This window comes from Homo sapiens, chromosome 21, assembly GCF_000001405.40.
Source record: "Homo sapiens chromosome 21, GRCh38.p14 Primary Assembly".
Lineage (NCBI taxonomy): Eukaryota > Metazoa > Chordata > Mammalia > Primates > Hominidae > Homo > Homo sapiens.
In genome coordinates this window covers 10,469,026-10,492,397 of record NC_000021.9, presented here as the reverse complement: position 1 = coordinate 10,492,397, position 23,372 = coordinate 10,469,026, and the positions used below count along the sequence as shown (strand labels likewise).

Here is a 23,372-nt window from a genome sequence, read left to right as displayed (position 1 = left end):
GCAATACTAGAAAAGATTTCCTTGTGGAGTATACAGTTTAAGACCTCTGCTGTACAGCTATACCTCCATGCTTGCTTCCAGTGGCCATGACACTTTATTCAAATATGTAAGTTTTATTAAGACTGAGTTCTTAAAAAGAAAAAACCAAGAACCTTAGATACAACTAGTGAAGTATTGAGACCTGTCCATATTTAAAACCAAGCACACGATACCACTTAAAAGGTTCCCCAGAAAGCCTCTATCCTGAAATGCTTGAAAGTGAGCAGTGCTGACTCTCGATTATTACCAATTGCATTAAATATGACACTTGTTTTGTTTCTTTTGGCTATAAGGAGAAAATGTCATTTTGTATATGAGTGAGCACAGAGGAGAGAGAATGCGGTAAAGAACAGAATAGGCTAATAATTTTTTACTAAATACTCCAGTTCTCAGCTTTTTAAATCAACAGACAAAATGAATCAGCTAAACCTAAAATCTTTGTGAATAGTATAAATTGTCTTTTAAATTAAATGCATATATTTTTATGTTTTACTTTTTCAAGACAAAAGCAGGATATTAGTACAATATAAGATTTATAGAGGAGCAAATTTCTTGAGATAGGAAACCCTTAAAAGCAGTATTTAAAGTGCTTAAATACTGTCACATACGTTTAATAATCATAATACTTAATTGTGAGAACTGGGAGCTCATGTTACTACTAAAACCAAATAAAAATTCAGTACATATTTGTTAACTCAATTTAAGGATGTTTACCTTAATACTGACACAGTATGGATGGTAACACTGACCACACTGAGAACAGGCAAGTAGTCTTCCTTCTGCTCCTTGGCCAAAACTGCCACAAACTACACACATATCCTGAAGTTAAGAAAACAGAACATATTTTAAATGGAGACTAAGCTAAAAACCTACAAATTTTACTTTAAAAATACCTTCTTAACTAATATAGCTCTATAGCTAAATATTGGATCACTTCTGTGTAGATGAGATAAAGCAGAAATGTGCAAGGAGGAATTCAATGAGGAAGACAGTAAATTGTCAAGTTCAAACCTGATTCAAAGTGAACTTGTCACTGCTAGAAAACAACACAACCGTAGTGTGCATAGAGTTTTCTTCATCATCCTTATTTGATGAAATATCTGCAGTAGACACCTATAAAAAGCAAAATACACAAAATACGAAGTTATATTTTTCACTTGTTTTACACTTAACTGGAAAGCTTCAGAAAATTCATAATCAAAACATATATTTTTGCTAAGGTCTAGAATAACAATTCCAAATATTAATGCTAAGATAGTACTATAAAATGGAGTCATGACATTTTATTATTCACCTAATTCTCTCTTTAGAGGTAGAATTCCTATAGACCAATAAGTAATGAGAAAATATAATAAACCTGTCTTAGTAAGACTTGATTATGCAGAATTCTAATCAAGAAACTATAAATGATAATATTATATGTATGTACACACACAAATCTATCACTATTTTAATGACACACACTTGGGATCTGCAATGTAGTTAGTCTGAACTGAGATGTCCTGCAAACATAAAATACAGCACATAATTACATATTACATGTTGAAATGGTAATATTTTAGATATATCGGTCAAAATGGAAGGCATTAAAATTAATTTTGCCTGTTCACTATAACCTTTGTTTCGAGAGGAGTTTCACTCTTGTTGCCCAGGCTGGAGTGTAATAGCGTGATCTCAGCTCATTGCAACCTCTGCCTCCTGGTTCAAGCTGTTCTCCCTGCCTCAGCCTCCCAAGTAGCTGGGATTACAGTTGTCCACCACCATGCCCAGCTAATTTCTGTATTTTTAGTAGAGATGGGGTTTCACCATATTGGTCAGGCTGGTCTCTTAACTCCTGACCTCAAATGATCCACTGCACCCAGCTCATTGTAACTTATTAATGTGGCTACTAGGAAGTTTTAAGTTGCATATGTGGTTCTCATTATATTTCTATTAGCACTGCTTTGGAATATTATTTTGAATAACATCCAAATTTCAGTATTAGCCAAATGATTATCAACCAATATTGTTCAGTCTGGACTTAGTTCTATTTGATTAAATCAACTAAGTACCCTCTGGTTTGTTAATAATTTCTAGAGTGATTATGAAACAAAATAAAGCTCTGAACTAGAAGTTGTAGAAGAAGACAAGGAGGGCACTGCCAAAATCATAAAATACAATCCTCTTTCTTTAAAAAGCTTACAATCGAAGCCTGGAAAGACAGTTGAAACACAACAGGTTATGTTCAAGGTCAAAACATAACACAACTGAATTACTTTTCTTGAGGAACAACTGAAAGAAGATTAACCAGCTGGGTGTGGTGGCTCATGCCTATAATCTTAGCACTTTGGGAGGCTAAAGTGGGTGGATTGCTTGAGCTCAGGAGTTCGAGACCAGCCTGGGCAACATGGTGAAATCCTGTCTCTACCAAAAATACAAAAAACAGCCGAGCATGGTGGCACACGCCTGTAGTCTCAGCTACTCAGGAGGCTGAGGCAGGAGAATCACTTGAACCCAGGAGGCAGAGGTTACAGTGAGCCAAGATTATGCCACTCCACTACAGGCTGGGTGACAGAGCGAGACCCTGTCTCCCAAAAAAAAAAAAAAAAAAAAGGAAGGAAGTTTGGTTGGTTAACTAAATAGAAGGACTACATCTCGGTATTTTTCAATACAAATACATTTAAAAGCAGTTTTTTTGGTTTTTTTTTGTTTGTTTTTGAGACAGTCTCTCCCTATGTCACCCAGGCTGGAGTGCAATGGTGCAATCTTGGCTCACTGCAAGCTCTGTCTCCCAGGTTCACGGCATTCTCCTGCCTCAGCCTCCCGAGTAGCTGGGACTACAGGCGCCTGCCACCATGCCCGGCTAATTTTTTGTATTTTTAGTAGAGATGGGGTTTCACCATGTTGGCCAGGATGCCAGGATGGTCTCGATCTCCTGACCTCATGATCCGCCCACCTCGGCCTCCCAAAGGGCTGGGATTACAGGCATGAGCCACCGTGCCCAGCCTAAAAGCAGTTTTAATGGATAGTACTAATGCTTTATAAGAGCAATTTATAGTCATATGAACCCTAATGACTACAAGTGTTAATAATGCCAATATTAATCATTAGGGAGTAAGTAAAGCAATGACAAATCCAAACACTAGGAAAGTACGAAACATTTTAAAAGTAGGGAGGTAGAAACTTGTATAGACTGCCATGAAAGAAATTATCAAAAAGACACTGTTGAGTGAAAAAATAAATTGCAGAACAGTATTTGAGGTATAGCACTATAATATAAAAACATGCAACGTCATTATATGTAGTCTATGGGCACATATAATAGGTTGACTCATAAGAAATTGCTGCTTTTCATCAGTTCAGAAATAATATTGGCAATTTCATATGGATCAACCTAATATATAAATATACCAAACTGGTAACAGGGAAATAAGGAGGACTGAGGAGTTAGTAATGGTAAATTCTGATCTACCTATAACGCTTTAATTCTTTTAATAGAGAAAATGTATTGATGTGTTATATGCATAGCATTAACAAAATTAGCTTTCTAAGATTTTAGAGAATCATCCAAGATGATTCACAGAAGTAGAATCATCATCATCAGTAAGAAATTAAGTGACTACTAAAAGTAATCATTAATTCAGTCATAGGACTAATGATGCATTGACAAGACTATTGAGATATATAATTATGGAAATGGCTAAAATAGAGATAAAGTATCTATTTCTACCTCCCAACCACTTACAGAAAATTCAACACATTATACACACTGAGCAGCTCAAAGAAATTGTAAAGATCCATTATTATTTTTAAAAGGAAATTTAACCAGTGAATGCTTTCACTGAAAACGATAAAAAATATATTCCCAGTATAAACCAGAAATAAAGTCTGCAGTAGAAAACTACAATGTCCCTAGATTCAAGTGGGGGTGGGGAGTCATATTTAAATAATAAGTGCAGAAAAACCAAAATATTTTAAAATAATTGTCCATGCAAGAAAGAAAACAGTATCATCTAGCTTGAAGACCCACTGTTTTTATTTTATAATTTATTTCATGACCTTTAGACTGCTAGAAAAATAAAACCTAACTTGAGGGCAAAGGTAGAGAAAATATGTGCTATTGTTGCCTGCATAGATAATAGTGTGATTTATCCAGAAGGTGATAGAAATATCATTTTCCTAGACCACAGATATAAGCCAAGGAGAACAGAAAGCTCTGACCTAAACTTCACAAGTGTCCCTTCCAAGCAGGGACACGTAAGAGTAAACAAAAAAAGAAGATCAAATTAAACTCAAAGTGAGAAGATAGGAAAAAATAAAGATGAGAATATAAATCAATAAAACAGAAAGGGGAAAGAAAATAGAGAAAAGTCCATGAAAACAAAGGCTGACTCAAGAAGATCAATAAGATTGATAAATCTCTAGCCAGACTGATCAGGAAAAATATAAGACAAGATACAAATTATTAGTATCAAGAATGAGGAAGGTGAAATCACTACAGATTCTACAGGTATTAAAATAATAAGAAACATTATGATCAACTCCATTCCTTTAATTTGTCAAGATAGACAAAATGAACAAATTTCTTGAAAGATGCAAATTTATGCAAGGAGAGACAGATAACCTAAATAGGTACCTATTAAAGAAATAAAATTTGTTGTTAAAAACTGTCCCACAGGCTGGGCACTGGTGGCTCATCCAGTAATCCCAGCACTTTGGGAGACGGATCACCTGAAGTCAGGAGTTCAAGACCAGCCTGGCCAACATGGCAAAACCCCATCTCTACCCAAAACACAAAAATTAGCGAGGCATGTTGGTGCATGCCAGTAATCCCAGCTACTCAGAAGGCTGAGGCAGGAGAATTGCTTGAACCTGGGAGGTGGAGGCTGTAGTGAGCAGAGATCACGCCACTGCACTCCAGCCTGGGCATGGTGGCTCATGCCTGTAATCCCAACACTTTAGGAGGCCAAGGCAGGTGGATCACCTGAGGTCAGGAGTTCGAGACCAGCCTGGCCAACATGGTGAAAAACTGTCTCTACTAAAAATACAAAAAAAGAAATTATCTAGGCATGGTGGCAGGAACCTGTAATCCCAGCTACCCAGGGGGCTGAGGCAGGGGAATCACTTGAGCCTGGGAGGCAGTGGTTGCATGAGCTGAGATTGTGCCATTGCACTCCAGCCTAGGCAACAAGAGCGAAACTCCATCTCAAAAGAAAGAAAGAAAAAAAAAAGAAAACACAACAAAAACCCCCCACAAAGAAAATTTCAGGCCAAGATGGTTTCACTAATAAATTCATGTATAATATAAGAAGATACATTTCCACTACTACACAACTTTTCCAGAAAACTGAAGAGGAGAATATACTTTCTGATTCATTCTATGAAGCTGGAGTTATGCTGATACCAAAACCAGACGAAGACATTACAAGAATGTAAGACTACAGGCTGGGGCATGGTGACTGATGCCTGTAATCCCAGCATTTTGGGAAGCCAAGGTGGGAAAATTGCTTGAGCTCAGAAGTTCGAGACCAGCCTGGACAACATAGTGAGATGCTGTCTCTATTAAAAATTTTAAAAAAGTAGTTGGGTGTGGTGGCACACACTTATGGTCCCAGCTACTCGGGAGACGGAGGTGGGAGGTCAAAGCTGGAGTTAGCTATGATCGCACCACTGCACTCCAGCCACGAATTAGAACGAGAACCTGTCTCAGAAAAAAAAAAAAAGAAGAAAAAAAAGTGCACAGGTCTACAGCCGTGGTGCATCCACAGTTTTATTAATACACAGCAAGAAAAGGGAGTACACGGTTAACAAATACAACAGCATAGATGAATCTCCAAATAATTGTGCTGAAATAAATCAGTCCAAAAAGCATACAGTTCTGTATGATTCCACTTATATACAACTCTAGAAAATGCAAACTAATCTTGGGGACAAGGACGGATGGCAGGGGGAATGCAGAAAATTACAGAGGGACATGAAGAAACGTTGGGAGATGAATATATTCACTGTCATGATTGTGGTATCATTTTCAAGGGTGTATATATATATATATATATATATATCAAAGCTGATGGAATTGTACATGTCAAGTCAAATATAGCTTATATCAACTATACCTCAATAAGCCTGGTTTTAAAATTTTTCTTTTTGAAAAAAGGACGAGAATCTAAGTTTCCTTATTCCTGGTTTAGTGGTAAACTTGAACAATTTCACTGTCTCCTATACTTAAAATGACATTTCAGAATTTTAAAAACAGGATTTTAATAAAATAGCAAAGTTATTACATAAAATATTTGCTAGTAGTTAGCAAATGTATTTGTAATACACATACAAATAAAGCTTCATAACATGATAGCAAATATCTATCAATCTTAAAATTTTTTAAATAAAAGAGCAACTATATTACATAATGACTTTTTAGAGAGGGTTGGCATAGAAAGATAAGGAGTCAAAGAGGAAGGTAAGAAAAGAGAAAGGATGAGAAAGTAAATATACAAGAAAATGTAACCAGAGGCTCAAAAAAAAGTAGGACAGTAAAATAAACATTTTGACCTATTTATATGACTCATCAAAATAACTTGCTATGAGATTTTCATCATTAACTGACATTTAGATTAGAGAAAATATACATGAAGCAAGCCTCACCCCAGGCAATACAACAGCTCCGATTCCACTTTTCAGCTTTGACCTGCCTCGGCCACCTCGCCCCGACAGTCCTGCACCTCGAGGTCTCCGCTTTCTTGGAAATCCAGACCCATGGCCCTATGTAACAGATTAGGAAAAGTCAACATTCTGTGACAGCCCAAAATAATTTTTAAATCCAAATGCCACTGAGATAAAACATTTTATTAAATGTTATACAAACACTTCTTTAGATAAGTATTAAAAGACCTGGCTTATTATTTTTATCTTTAAAAGTATACTCCACAACTTAAAAATCTAAATATAAAATGCTTACAACCTTAGAATCATACTTTAGGCCTGTCACTGTGAACGCTATCAGCAAGACTTTGCATGATTTTTCTCTTTCCCACTCCTACATTCTCGGTGACGACAACAACTGTAGCCTGATCCAGATATTTCGAAGTGCAACAAATTGTATTCAATATAGAGTAAGGATAAGGAAAAACTCTCTCATTAACTGGTCTCACGGTGATTACAGTAATAGCTAACATCTATTGAGTACTTACTATGTACTAATCTAAGTATTTTTTACTCTCATCCATCCCATATAGTAGGTTTTATTATCCTCATTTGAGATGAGTGTGCTGAGGAATAAAATGGTTAAGTAACTTGTCCAAGGTCACTTAGCTAGCAAGCCTGGCTCCAGCGTCCCTGGGTTGGAAGCATATTCTGTACTGCTACATCAGCATGAAAGTTCATTTTTGCTAGTGTGTGACAGTATTCTTCCTGTCATTAGAATTAAGTCAGTTTCCTTCACTATTCAACAGTTCTCTTATGAACTCAACATTTCTACCTCATTCACCGTTGTATTTAGAGGAAAATTTATTATTATTGTTATTACTTTTATTTTTGAGACAAGAACTTGATCTGTCTCTCAGGTTGGACTGCAGTGGTGTGATCACAGCTCACTGCAGCCTAGAACTCTTGGGCTCAAGTGATCCTCCTGCTTCTGCCTCCCAAAGTGCCAGGATTACGGGAGTAAGCCAAAGCATCCAGCCAGGAAAAATTATTTGAGGATTACAGGAAAGCTGACAAAAGGCTTTGTGAAAGCTTTGCTTTAAATAATCTGAATAATAAATACTTGAAATGGAAATAATTTATCTGACTTCTTACACAAGAAATAAACCTATGGGAAAATGTGTTAAATTCCCTGATAATTTCAGACATTAAGTACCAGAGTATGGTGTTCCCTGCCCCCTCACCCTTGTTTGTACTAATTAATTACTCCTTGAAAAAACCTGGCACCTACCTAAGTAGTTGAATTATGTATATTTAAAATTATCCAGATGCTCAGGAAAATACTTAGGTGTTTCCCTCACCATAAGTTAAATAATATGTCATATCTTCAACTGATGTCCCTTATCATAGTTTGAAATGAACTTATTCCCTATTTAGCAGAATGGTTTCCAAGTCAAAAATTTATGGTGATACTGTAAACATAAAATAGATACACATGAACAAAAGGAATGGGAGGAATGGCTTTTCTCCCTTTGGATGTAATAAATACAGCCAGCTCCCAGTTTCAAACTGCCACTCCTGTCTTCTCTTACCCTGCTCTCCTTGAGATCCCTTTAGAGAAGTGCATCAGGTTCTTTGCACAACGGACGGATGGGGTCAGGTTAGTTTTTTGGGTTTTTTGTTTGTTTTTGAGACAGAGTCTCGCTTCTTTGCGCAGGCTGGAGTGCGATGGTGCGATCTTGGCTCACTGCAACCTCCGTCTCCTGGGTTCAAACAATTCTCCTGCCTCAGCTTCCCTAGCAGCTGGGATTACAGGCACATGACACCACGCGTGGCTAAATTTCTTTGTATTTTTAGTAGAGACGGGGTTTCACCATGTTGGCCAGGTTGGCCTCGAACTCCTGACCTCAAGTGATCTGCCCCCTCAGCCTCTCAAAGTGCTGGGATTACAGGCATGAGCCACTGCGCCCAGCCGAGTTTGTTTTGTTATTAAATTGGTATAAAAGATTTTTGAAAAATTAAGTCAGTGATTAAAAATCAAGACTACAGTAGTCTCTCAATTTATCTTCTCCAACATGAAATGCTGACCCAGAAAAAAATTAAGTAAAAACTGGTGGTCTATATTATCAAACTGTCAAATGAGGCATATTTATACTTCAATATCTTGGATGATATCAGGGGGAGGTAGGGAGGTTAAAAAAATAGTTCTTCCAGTCATGAAAGAAAATAAAGTATAATCTAGAATTCCTTAAAATCGTTCATGAGTCTAAATTAAACAGCCATATTCCAGAATATTAAATATAGAATATGAAGAAGAACTGTCATCTCCGGTCAATGAAGTATTTTAACTTTTGAGTTAATACTTTTTCAAAGTAATTTTTTTTCTCTTCAAAATGCATCACACTACTTAACTCACTTCAAGGACTGGCAGAGCCATCAACCAATGTCATGGGGGAAAAAGCCTTGTCATTTTAAGGTATTAAACAGACAATGAAATCTGCCACAATTTTGGTATTTCTTGTCCATGAGAACATAATAAATTAATGGAGTTTTTTCTTTTGCTTTTTTCTAAGCAACAAAGTTTTATGTATCATGAATGAAAAGATCCTTAATTACATTTTGGTCTACATGTCAAGGACTTCTCCCTCATAAAACCAGTAGTAATCACAACAAAAGGAATTAACCATAAAAAGAGGTATTAAAAATGTATACTTGATTTTTAAATGCAAGCATATTATTTCTTTACATTAAAATTTTTAGATTTAAAAAGTGTTTCTGGAAGCTCAATCTAGAAAAGAAAGATTTAATTCTTAACATCCAGTAGGGCAAAACAAATCAGACAGAAGTGATATATGAATGTAAATGTAATTTTATGTACCACTTTGATGCTCCAAATGGCACTGCCAGGAAGCTGCCTGGGTTTAAAAATTTCCCGACCTCCTGAAATGTCTGGGGACCACGAGGGTGGGCTCACTGTATTATGGGTACTCCAAGCCTCCTAAGATATGGCAGTTGAGAAAATAGATGTGTAAAACTCAGCAACATAAAAGGTCAAAGCCAGCAACTAAGGAATTTTAGGACAGCAAAAACAAATGCAAACGTATGGAAATTTAGGACAAATTGCTTCAAGGAAGGCAAAATAAGCTAATCACTAACAGTGATTTAAACATTTAACTATAACAAATAACTTAAATGTTTGCTGCTACAGAGACATCACTACAATGAAACATTAAAAATTAAGGTTTATGTGACATCAACATTGACTCATGAACTGCAATTACTGCACCAAAAAGTAAATAAAAGTCAATCACACTTTAAGAATTAACACTAGAAGAAAGTATTGGGGGGTTATTTTTCTTCTAACAACTATCACTCTACTTAAAAGGAGAAATGGATAACCATAAGGAATTCTATATTCTATAGCTATAAACAACCAAAACCAGTAGGCCAAAGAATGCAATGAGAAACATAAGCAATCGATAAATGCATAAACTTTAAACTGTAGAGAGCTGGTAACATTAAAATGCAAATACCATTATAATCTTAGCATTTAATCACTCTTTCTTCAGTGACCATTAGTTGTCGGTTTGGTTTTGGTTTTTATTTAGGGAAATGAATACTCTATGGAAATTACATCCAATGGACAAAAGTGAAGAAACGTTAAAGCAAATTGTCCTAAATTTGCAAATTAAAATGCCTAAAGTGCCTGATAAATTATATAGAAAGTAGTATCTTATTAAAATCTATATAACTGAAACTAAAGCATTTTACTTCTGAACAACCACATTCAGCAATACCCTGAACTAATCTGAAGATGTTAAACAGCATAAAGAAAAATGTTTACTCCACAAAGATAACATTTTAAAGAAAAACAAGACAAATGTCAAACAATAAAAGAATATATTTTGAATTAGGTAATTCAATGGTGCATGCATAATTTTACCAATCAAGTAACCAAAACTTAAGGTACATAGTACTTACCAGGTTTCTAGAATATCATCAAATTAACAAGTACTATCTCATTAATCACATAAAAATACCACCAGGAATTAAAATAACCAGAAATAAGAATGTGACTACTCTTGGGGTAAGAGATAGGTAATGGAATAACAGTATTTTGAGAAAAGCCACACAAGCAATAGCCTGGTTTCATTTTTAAGTCACTAACTCAACCCACACACATTGAAGTCCAGCAATCCAATTCATTCTCTCCAGCAAACACTTAATTTTTTCCCTTCCAGGATTACCCTCAGGTGTTCTTTCTTACCCATCAAATCTCTAACCTAGCTCAGGTAATCACTATGCTGATTTCACTGAGCAGCAACCACTGCAGGTCAGTTACCTCACTTTCATAATTTCCAATCAACTTGAATCTGTACCTATGTCTTCTTCCCTACTATTAGTAGGGAGGTGTTGTCAAAAGCCATTTCTCTTTTCTCATTTTACTCATGCTCCTGACATCTGGCATACGGTTCTGCTGGATTTGGCAGCAGTCCACCTGTGGATATTTCACTGCCTTCCTCGCTAATCTTTCTTCATCTCCTGTACGTGTTCTTCCTCTATTTGGCTTCCAAAGCCCTGGAGTTTCCCAGGGCTTGAGCCTAGATCCTAAATGGTGTTATCTACAATGAGGGCATCTTGGAAGTTGATGCTTCCCACATTCTTATTTCTGGCTTTAATCAAAGATCTCCAAATTAGCAGGATTTTCAACTTCCTTCTTAGCATTTCCATTTTCTCACACAAAACCCTTCTTAAGTTTGCCATGTTTAAAATTTCTCCCTTAACCGGTTTCATCCCAGTCTTCCCCATCCTTATAAATGGCATCCAGTCCCTTGTCACTCTCCTCTGCTCCTTCAGGCCTCTCCCCCAACACTTCATCAATGCAAATCATCAGCAAATTCAAGACTTTTTATCTTCAAGTTTTGTCTCCAATCCTTCTACTTCTTGTCACTTCCACCACTAGTAGCACACTCGTGGCCACCACCATCTCTCACCTAACCTGCTACAAGAGTCTACTGCTGGTTATGCTTCTCCCACCCTGCATCTACTCAAACCTTTCCCCACAGCAGCCAGAGGAACTTTTCAAAAGTACAAATGTGATCAAGCAAGTCACTATTCTATTTCAAACCTTCAATTGCTTCTCAGAGCACTTAAAATACAAACCTTTCCCAGTGCTTTTCTCCAACTTATCTTGTGGCACTTGTCTCCCTGCTGCTATGCTCCAGCTATTCTGGCTTCCTTGCTGTCCTTCAAACATGCCAAGCTCTGTATCAATCAGAGCCCAGCTGACTCAGAACACTTCACTATACCATTCTGGCCCTTCAATAAATGTCTGGCATTTTCTTTCTTTCTTTATTTTTTGAGATGGAGTCTCACTCTGTCACCCAGGCTAGAGTGTGGTGGTGTGATCTCGGCTCACTGCAACCTCTACCTCCCAGGTTCAAGCAATTCTCCTTCCTCAAGCCTCCTGAGTAGCTGGGATTACAGGCATGCACCACCAGGCCCGGCTAATTTTTGTATTTTAGGAGCAATAACATGTTGGTCAGGCTGGTCTCAAACACCTGACCTTGTGATCCACCAGGCTTGGCATCCCAAAGTGCTGGGATTACAGATGTGATCCACCACGGCCAGCCATGTCTGGCGTTTTCTAACCCTTCAGGTATGGCCTTACATATTTTCTCATCAGGAGACCTTTCCTTAGTGCTCCCAGTGAACCATCATCTCTCTTACCACACCATTAGTGCCTCTCATTGCATCACCACCTAGGACGTTTTATTGTTTGTAATTTTATTTAGTGGTAGGCAGTGGGGCAAGAGATACCTAAATTACTTCTCTCAATATTTCCATTGGTTTTTCTCTGAGATTTGGCTAACATACATCTTAAATTCTTTTTAGTCAATAGTTTAATATTATGTTGGCAGTAGACAGTTCTAAAAAATATGAGACAGAAAGTCATACTCTAAGATAAAAATAATGTTGAATAATTTTATTTCAGAAATAAGAATTTTCTGGTAATTATGTATTATTCATCATAATTTAAAAGTTAGCTTTGATGCCAAAATTTTATCTCACTTTGAAAAGACAGACTTTGTGTAATTTTATAGTTCTGAAGAAAAATTATCATTATACTTAGATATTCTGACAAATTATCTAGTATATTCCTTAGACCTTAAAACTAAAATATAGCTATAATTATCAAAGTTTAAATTATCCTTCAGATCTTAGCTTTGATCAAGAATTTACACAAACCATTCAGAAAAGGTTACCTGCCCCTGTAATGTATGGGCTCTTCTCCTACAATCCAGTTGCAGCACTTTTTACACTGTAATTAAAGATATGCCCCTTTCTGTCCACTGCTACGTTAAGCACCCTGTTCAGCACTTACTGAACTTTTTTTCTGCTGAGCATCTATTATCTTTTTTTGCATGTGTGTATGAATTCATCAATAAACAATGAGCTATGATATGAAACACACTAATGCCTCCACCAGTAATAACCTAGAATCTTGAATTTCTTCACTTAAAAAAAAGTTACTAAAAATTACTAAAAAATCTATATAATGCCTCCTTAATCTACAAACTGAATTAAAAGCAAAATAGTTCCTAATGTAATCATTATTAAGTTGTAAATAGAATCAACTTGCTATCAAATACTACAGAAACTAAAAAAACACTACCTGGCAGGGACTGAATTTGAACCTAAGAAAAATAATTTAACCCAAAAATAGTTTAATATTAGCATTAAGTTTCTTTCTGCTTTGAGGCCAATTTCTCAGGTAAACTGTCCAAGCTAGTAAATTATACAAGGACTGTGGGATGGGGAAATGAGAACAATAATGACAAGTGGAGGATAGGCTATTTAGAAGCAACTTTCTATTAAAAGTCAAATTCTATTGCTGATTGTTAAATACGATCAAAGTCATTCTTACAGCCCAAGAGTACTATCAGTTTTAAAAGCAGCCATAGAAGGTTTGGTGTCTCAAAGGCAAACTTTACGCCTCCAAATCTTAAATCAACCCCGGCCCCACACTCTTCCAACATACTATGTAAAACCAAGGTTGCTTATAAACAGTAAGTCTAATTTGCGAAAAGTGAAAGCAATGAAGACAGAGGGCAGAAAGGAAGATAACTGGTAAAAGAAACAAAAGAGTTTACAGTTTGTCTTTTTGGTAAATACAATCACTTGTATACACTGGAGTTACAGCAGCCAACACTTCACTCTTTAGGGAATTATTAAAAGAAGTCTCATATATAAAATTGAGTTCAATATCAAGTAGAACAAGAAATTAGACCCAATCCTGTTTTGATAACTACAGGAACAGTTATTATCAGCTTTAGCCTTCAATAATTTCACAATACAAATTAGGTAGTGCTAGCAACAGTAATGTCTCCAAAAATACCACAACAAGCACAAGTGAACTAAAAGCAAAGTCTGGTACTTCTAATCTGCTGTGTTGTTAGCTTGGTGTTCCAAAGGGGTAGGTATTTTTTAGGTTTAACACTATGGTTCTCTGGCTACTTTTAAAACTGAAAGTACTCTTCTTATAATATAAAGTAAACTTCTAATAATTTGTCCAAGAGATATCAAAATACAGTACCTATGTTTCCATTTATGAAATTTTCTTGAAATATTTACTGCAGGCTGGGCGTGGTGGCTCACCCCTGTAATCCCAGCACTTAGGGAGGACAAGGCGGGTGGATCACCTGAGGTCAGGATTTCAAGACCAGCCTAACCAATATGGCGAAACACCATCTCTACTAAAAATATAAAAAAAATTAGCCAGGTGTGTTGACGTGTGCCTGTAGTCCCCGCTACTCAGGAAGCTGAGACAGGAGAACTGCTTGAGCCAGGCAGGCAGAGGCTGCAGTGAGCGAGGTCGTGCCACAACTCCAGCCTGGGTGACAGAGCAAGACTCAATCTCAAAGAAATAAATAAAAATAAAATAAAGAAATATCTACTGCAAATAATACGTTTCATAAAATGCTTAATAAAAACTTTCAATACCACCATGAAAGCAATTAGAACATGAGGGTGTCTGAAGTAGATCATAGTAGTGTGATTACATTCAATATCTTTCTATAAGACGTGATGATACATACAGGGTAAATCATACAAGAAGACCTAAGATTATTATCTCAGAATTTCCTAATTAGAATGGGAATACAATTGTGCAATGAGAGAAATGGACTGAAGACAGAAATAAAAACAAATGTTATGATTTAATATGACAAATTTAAAATTTCCACTTTATTTTCCACCATTTTTAAAGAGCATTCCTTATAGTATTAATTTTAATGCATTTTTAAAAATCAGTAAGACAAGTAGCACATTTCTCTAGTTCAGGACTCCACTTTCAGGGTTACAGTTAAAGATGATCCTAGAAGTGCATTTTAATTGGTCTAGGGTAGGGTCATTAGCTTGATGTTCTAAAATCTACTGAGTTGATTACAATATGTGTCAGTGTCAATAACCACTTTCTTAAACCCAAGTTGCAAAGCACATATACCTATAGAAATGTTGAAAATGGGCCAGGCGCTGTGGGGCTCACACCTGTAATCCCAGCACTCTGGGAGACCCGAGATGGGAGGATCTCCTGAGGCCAGGACTTTGTAACCAGCCTGGTCTACACAGCAAGACCCCCATCTCTATAAAAAAATAAAAAATATTTTTAAATGCTGAAAAATGAAATACTAAATTATTTATGAATATATAACTTCAATAAAAGATGAGAAAATACAACTAGGTCATTAGGACAATTTGTATGAAACAATATCCAATTTGCTGTCTGTTACTTCTACCTTATCATGTCTAATTTTTCCTCATCTTTGTGAAATCCTGCATCTATTGTAATAGGCAAAAAAAACAAAAAACAAAAGGAATCTTATTCTATTCACAGCCATCAGAAAAATGTGTTACTATTCCTGTAGTCAGGTTCTAAATCATACATTTGAGATATATCTCAAACATGTCATAAAGAAAATAAGCATCATATTTCTAACTAAATAACACCTGAAATATTCCATATGAAAGGAAAAATACGAAAAACTAAACTTTTAATTACTAACCTCCTTAAAGGAACATAATTCTATATGATTTGATATTTCATAATGGATGTCCAATACCTGAGATATAAATTCCATTTTCTGTGTCCTAACATCTCACCTTCAGAAAATCTCCAATATTGGGTTATTTGGATTATATATTTAAAACTGAATATACTTGAAGATGTGAATGATTTGTTGCCACAACAAATGGTTTACAATTATCTGCATTAAAATGTGTTCCATGAACAACAGAAAAAGAATATTTCTACTTCAGTCCTTAAAAATTGTGAAAGCACACCCACAGTCTTAGTTTGTCGATCTTGAATTCTTTTGGTATTTTAATTTCACCAATAATTCTGGAACTGCTGTTTTTGTATTTCTCAAAATGTTTTGTCTTGCATCGTGCAATAAGGCAGCCACCATCATATGTGACCACCGAGCACTTCTAATGCAGCTAGCCAGAACTGATGTTTTAAGTATAAAGCATCTTGTTCATTTTTATACTAAATGCTGAAATATTGTTTTGAATATACCAGGTTAAATAAAATACATTAAAATTTATTTCACCTTTTTTTAAGTGTAACTACTAGAAAATTTAAAATTACACATATGGTCTGCATCATATTTCTATTAGACAGCACTGGCTCACCGTTCTACTGGTTGGCTAGCTTGTACCTCCAGATAACATCTGATAATCCAATCACTAGCTATCACAAACTAGATCTTTCAGATGTTTCCTATTAAAATGTTCGTTTAAATTTGAAGTGAATTCCTAGAAAAGCTCATATAATACTATTATAGAAAATCATTAAAATCAACTTAATAATTTGCCCACCATGAAACAGAACTTAAAGTAAATCTACATTTCTTTGGTTAGTATTTACTGTACTGGTAAAGACCAAAGAATTGGTAATGTTCAACAAAATATGAAAATGCCAGTGACTTTAACAAAAAAATAGCTGGAAACCAAAGAATCTTGCTTACATCACAATCACAGCTAGGAAAATGCAGCTTATTTTACCGCCAGTCCCCGATGTGAAGAATATGTAGAAGCAACAGTAAATAAAAAAAGCAGTATAATACAGAAATGCCTAATATCAAAGAAATTCATGTAACAGAATACTGAACTTCAGTATTTCTAATATACGTATATACACATTCCTGCTAACTGTAGAATATTTCCTGCAAGTTATGGTCCCTGTGCCTCACCAATGGAAGATCTATCTTGTACTATTCAATTCATACTCTCCCTAATAACAGCACTATATTAGCAGGTTCATCATCAAGTGAAGGCTGTTTGCTAGATAACTAAAACCAAGATTGGAAAACTAAAAAGCTGGAGGGAGGGAAAACACAGCCTACAAAATGCTTACAAGATTAGCAGAAAATGATGAAGTAGTAACAAGAGGGGCAGAAAAATAGAAAGATTATCATCGGATTTGGGAATTCAAAGGCAGCTCAGCAAAATACTAGGACATGGCTCATATAAGATGGAATAAGCCTGGAAATACACCCCCCTCCCCAATATTTCAGAACATAAAGTCTACAGAAAGAGAGTCCTAATGTATTGAACCTGGTTTCTCAACTGAAACAAAAGTCTCCAAGGAAGGAGAGATACGTAAAATTTAACAGGAATACATATGAAGCAGTATCTTTAAAGAATGTAAATATATCAACCAAAAGTAAACTTGAGATTCAAATTTCCATTGCTAAAGTCTTTTCAGAGTCAGAATGACATAATTATTATATAACTATTCAAAACAAAACAAAAAATACTTACTGGAAAAAAGAACAACTGGTTTGAGAAGAAAATCTTTTCATGGTAGAGCAGAAATAACTGTCAAGGAAAATACTTAGAAAAAGGCATATATAAAGAGTGGCCTAGTTTTACTGCACACGTCTTTGCCATGCAGAAACAGCTAAATCCCATCTGACAACTACTTTCCCTTTCGTGTACCTTGTCTTTAGAGAATAAAATATATCTGGTTTTGATATAGAGGAGACTAATTTTCACATTAAAAATGATTTTCTTAAAAGCCTGGCCTTACAGTTTAAAAATTATACGATTAAAATCAAGATATTATTCCTATAAAAAGCCAAACTTTAATCCATTTAAATCATGAAACTTAAAACTTCACTTGAAGCAATTTCAATCATGAAACTTAAAACTCCAAATTACTATTGTGAATTAACACTTCTCCACTATTTATCTTGCAATTTTAAAAAAAACACTTCAGAAAGTAGCAAATTTGTAAAACAATAAATAATTCATACCTATAGTATCCTCATTTTGCCATGCAGTTTTACTTAAATCTCACTTAGAAATGGAACTCATTCTTAAAGGGTAGAATGCACATGATGTAAAGCAGACACAGGAAGATTTATCTTTACTTACTGAAAATCAATAGTACAATTCTAAGATTTTTTCCATGAAACTACTGAAATAAGTCCTACTTGAAAAAAGAAATCCCACAAGAGTTAGCAATTAATAAAAACACCAAAATGAGAAATTCCCCAGCATGGAAAATTCCTGTCATAAATGTTGATGTTTATCCAGTTAAAAATATATACAATAAATAATATCAATAAATATATTAGAAGGAAATAATAGATGTTAGTTACTGTATACCCAAAACTATACTGTATTTTAGGCTCTATATTTACTGCAGCACAGAACTAAAAGAATTTTTAAAGTTCTTTCTATTAGAAACTATTATCCATAGTTTGCATCTTTATGGCCCAGCTGAGTTGAAATTCCAAATAAGATCCCTTCAAATTTAATAAATGGCATTCTTCATTAACAGCATTTAAAAAATAATGGCTGAAACACATAATCAACATTACACTGAAGTTCTATCTGAAGACAGAAAAAGTTGCCATCCACACCAAAGCTACACATATACCTTCTGATTTTATAGAATTGTTCCAATATCTTTTCTGTCAATATCATTAAAATCACCCTACCTGTTTGGACCGAGGTCTACCAGGAGAAAATTTTCTCTTAGTAATAGCTGGTTTACCCATGCCAGTTTTTTGGAGTGACTGAGATGTAAGTTGTTGGCATGATGTTTCCAGCAGAGGAACTAAGAGCTGAAGGGTAATTACGCAGCATGTCATGCGAAGGCAAGTCTGAAGAAGGTGTTGGGGAGGAAGACACATCTGCCTTGCTTATGTCTGCTGATAATGAAAATGATGACTCTGTCTCAGATGATAACTTTATAGATTTGCCTCCTTGGTATGAAACATCTTTCACACAACCCTCAATTGTAGGAGTCATTTCAGAGTCCATCAATCCAGTAGAAAGTTCAGAATCTTCTTTCTGTTCCTTTTCTCCTTGTAGCCTTTCTATAACCAACTGTTCCTCAGGACATAATGAAGTGCTTTCCTCATGTGGGGACACTAAGGTTTCTAGTGGAAGAGTGACAGATTCAATGACAAATTTTGGAGGCCTTGATTCTTCTTTGGATACCACTGTTTTAGGTTCCTCTAACAACTGCAGTTGCTCTTGCTGCACAGTGATCTGGTGTGTAACGACTTCAATGTTTTCTGTCACTTCCATTTTATCTTCAATTTGATCTTCGCCACAAATATGCTTCACTTCAGAAGACATTTTCATTTCTTCACTATCAGCCTCATTAGAAATCTGTTTTTCCAATTCGGTATTCACTGTATGTTGGGATGATATTACAAAATTCAGAACATTTGTTATGGTAATGTACAAACAAATTTTAAATTTTCTAACTATAGATATATAAAACATTTGGCTACACTAGAACTTAAATCAGAAGGTATTCATCAAAGCAGACAATTATTAAGTGAATGAAAGCCAAAGTACACAAGGATTTATGGATTAGAATCAGCCATACACCAGAAAACCTAATGAAAACATGTTTTACAACACAAGTACTTCCAAATGGATTGAAAATTACACAGGAAAAGTTCTCATACTCATTTTTTAGTTAAGAAAATGAGGATCAATCATGTTATGTGAGGTACCTAAGTTAAAAAGTAAAGACTGATCTAGAATGTGTAGGCATTTTCTAATAGTAGATACCCAGATGCGACAAAGTTACTATAGACTCAAAAGCACAGACAGAAAAGATTTGCTAACCACCAATATTTATTTTGCTTAACCATACCTGCCAACCTAGCCAAAATATTCTTTGGATATAATCGTTGTTCTTCATCATTGTCTGTAAATTAAAAGACTAATCTCAGGAAATCTATAAACTTAGATATCAGAAACATAGTCACCGGTAAATTTTAAATCAGGATACCAGTATGTTAAACCTTTAACTCAATCTCATCAAGGTAATTTTTAAGTTATAGTAAAAAGACACTGCTAGCCTCATTTACCAATCAGTGACTAAAATTTATCTATTTATCTATGTTCTTTTTTTTTTTTTGAAACAGGATCTCACTCTGTGACCCAAGCTGGAGTGCAGTAGCAGAAACATGGCTCACTGCAGCCTCAACCTCCTGGGCTCAAGTGGTCCTCCCACCTCAGCCTCCCAAGCTGCTGGGACTGCAGGCATGTGTCACCATGCCCAGATACTTTTTTTGTTTTTGTAGAGATAGGGTCTCACTATATTGCCCAGGCCTATACATGTTCTGATACCAAACTGATACCAAACTGAAATCTCATCTTCTTTCCCACTTTATTGAAAGACTACAGGTAAGGATAAAAGAAAACTACCAAATAACAGATCTGATAGTACAAAATATTTTTAATCATGACATCCCCCCTCCAAAAAAAAAGCCTTTCAAGAGAAACTAACCTACTTTAGATCCATTGTCAATTCTTTTCCAGAATCTCTTAACTAAAAGATTTAGTTACTGTAATGTATATACATACAGCAATTGCAAAAATGTCTTTGGGATAAAGACATTATCTTATAACTCAGTCAAATCAGACAATATGAACATACTGCTTACCAGCAATGAGAAGACTATCTGTGTCCTCTATACCCTCAGTGTAGGGAAAGGCTTTCTGAATATGACTCAAAAATCCAGAAGCAAAAGAAGATTAATAAATCTAACTCCACAAAAAGAAACTTTTGCATGGCAAAAAAATAATAATAAAAACAAAGTCAAAAGACACATAATACAGCCTGGATAACATGGTGAGACCCTGTCTCTACAAAAGTAAAAAATTAGCTGGGCTTTGTGGTACATATAACTCCTAGCTAACTTGGGAGGCTGAGGCAGGAAGATTGCTTGAGCCCAGGTCAAGGCTACAGTGAACTATGACCATACCAATGTATTATGGCCGGGGTGACAGGGTGAGACACTGTCTCACACAAATAAGCAAAAAAAAAAAAAAAAAAAAAAAAAAAAGGACCAAATAAGCTAGCAGAAAGTATCTGCATCATGTAACACATATAAAGGCTTACATCCCTAACTTATAAAGAACTCTTAAATTTAGGGAAAAATGCCAAAATCTTCAATAACAGGCAAAACACATGAACAGACAATTCATGAGAAGAAATAAAAACTGACCCTTAAACACATGAAAAAACGATCAACTTCACTCTTAGGATAAACAAAAATTAAAACTACATTGATACACTACTTTTCACCCAGAAGACAGACAAACATTCAAAAGCTAAACAAGTCATCCTGTTAGCAAAGACGTAGGAAAAGTTCTCTCACACATCTCTGGTGGCAATGCAAAGTACCATAAGCCCCAAAAAAGGGAATTTCACAGTATCTAACAAAGCTACATATGTGTACACTCCTGAGGCAATAATCCTAGGAATTTACCCTACAGATTTGTCCCTGAGAATTCAAAAACACACATGCACAAAGCCAGGGAGTGTAAAATCATTTATAATGCAAATTATCATAAACTACTGAAATACCAAAGCACAGGCCACTGGTTGAGTAACCGATAGCACAGATACACAATGGAGTGCTATGCAGCTGTTTAAAAGGAGAATGAGATCTCTTGAACTTGCCTAACTTGCCTGGAAGTGATTTCCAGATTTTATTACATGAAAAAAGCAACATGCAAAAGAACATATACAACATGCTACCTTCACTGAAAGAGCAATATATCCTCTTATTCTTAGATGAAAAATAACAGGAGGTTTAAAACAGAAAACAATGAAGTTAGTTACTTCCAAGAGGCTGGGGGAAATGCGGTATAAGTAATAAACAAGAGACAGTGACAATTCTGAGCAAAATTTCATATAGTTTTGAGTTTTGAAAGTATACTAATACCTTCTATATTTAAAAAATTAAATCACTAAGAAAAAGGGGAATAAAATCTATTACTGAGAGCAAACTGAAGCAGACTTGCTTTTTAGATTGAGCAACTGAATAAATGTGCTGCTCTACAACCCAGAATTTTTATTGTAGAAGAACAGACATGCAAGAATGAAAAGGCAAAGAACTCAGTGGAGAAGGATAAGAACTGGAGGTGCTGGTATAAATTCATTATTTCTAAGTTATGTATATGTATATGAATATTTATGTGTATATACATAACGTGTAGGGGTGTTCAATCTTTTGGCTTTCCTGGAGCACATTGAAAGAAGAATCGTCTTGGGCCACACACAAGATACACTAACACTAATGACAGCTGATGAGCTACACACACACACACACACACACACACACACACCCCAAAAAAAAAAAAAACACCTCATAATGTTTTAAGAAATTTTATGAATTTCTGTTGGGCCACATTCAAAGCCATCCTGGACCACATGTAGCCTGCGGGCCATAGGTTGGACAAACTTCTGTAAGTGTATACACATGCATGTATTTCGTGACACCACCTGCTGAAAGGGTGAAGAAGTAAACACCCTCCAGTAGCAATGAGCACACCCAGCACCCATTCCCCACTAAAGGAATCTGGGTTACTTATTTAACAATGGACTTATTCCAGGACTCGGGCATGGGAGGTATAAGATGAGCTTGTAACATCTTGTTACACCAAAAAGTATGAAATGTTCAAAAAAGCGGTGAGGGCAGAACACCAGTGCCAGCTTGAAGGAGCAACTGACAGCAAGTATGCGACTATTTGAGCCAAAAAATAATTAGGTAATGAGTTGTAAATGATTGAAGATAATAGGAGTTCATGAGTCAATATTAATAGTAAGTAAGCTTAACATGTGAAAGAAGTGTTCTTGCTTACAAAAGAAAGCAGAGGGCTAACTGGTAAATGTGGTGGGAGTGCTAGACCTGGAAATGCATCATTTGCAACCAAAAGAAAGCATGTTAAAATGGCATCATCAGGCAGTAAGTTTGTTGTTGTTGTTGCTGTTGTTGCTGTTGTTGTTGCTGTTTTTTGAGATAGAGTCTATCTCTGTCACCCAGGCTGGAGTGTAGTAGCATGAGTCCAACTCACTGCAACCTCGCCTCCTGGGTTCAAGCGATTCTCCGGTCTCAGCATCCTGAGTAGCTGGGATTACATGGCACCCGCTACCATGCCTGTCTAATTTTTGTATTTTTAGTACAGACAGGGTTTCACCATGTTGGCCAGGCTGATCTCGAACTCCTGACCTCAACTGATCCACCCACTTCAGCCTCCCAAAGTGCTGGGATTACAGGTGTGAGCCACCACACCCGGCCTAGGGAGTAAGTTTTTCAAATCTAGAAGGAAATTCTGAGGAAAAGCAAGATATTTGCATGGTCTTAAAGTATCCTCACATACTGCTTTAT

The 23,372-nt window shown here is 35.8% G+C and overlaps 1 pseudogene across 2 annotated transcripts in view, besides 2 other annotated features; it reads right to left on the bottom strand.

Annotated features, from left to right (window-relative positions):
* Positions 1–23,372, bottom strand: part of BAGE2 (BAGE family member 2 (pseudogene)) — a 104,778-nt pseudogene that overhangs the window by 25,877 nt on the left and 55,529 nt on the right. For both annotated transcript variants that reach the window (NR_169269.1, NR_169270.1), the window contains exons 6-9: positions 18,669–19,370; positions 6,664–6,780; positions 1,051–1,152; positions 754–858 (exon numbers count right to left, since the gene is read on the bottom strand). The product of NR_169269.1 is annotated as a BAGE family member 2 (pseudogene), transcript variant 1 (transcript). The remainder of the gene's footprint in view (positions 1–753; positions 859–1,050; positions 1,153–6,663; positions 6,781–18,668; positions 19,371–23,372) is intronic.
* Positions 18,936–19,437: an enhancer, noted in NCBI's record as "NANOG hESC enhancer chr21:11038995-11039496 (GRCh37/hg19 assembly coordinates)". NCBI's record gives its function as "activates a minimal SCP1, AML or CMV promoter by ChIP-STARR-seq in primed H9 embryonic stem cells {active_cell/tissue: H9 hESC(primed)}" and the evidence as "EXISTENCE:reporter gene assay evidence [ECO:0000049][PMID:30033119]".
* Positions 20,815–21,808: an enhancer, noted in NCBI's record as "NANOG hESC enhancer chr21:11040874-11041867 (GRCh37/hg19 assembly coordinates)". NCBI's record gives its function as "activates a minimal SCP1, AML or CMV promoter by ChIP-STARR-seq in naive H9 embryonic stem cells {active_cell/tissue: H9 hESC(naive)}" and the evidence as "EXISTENCE:reporter gene assay evidence [ECO:0000049][PMID:30033119]".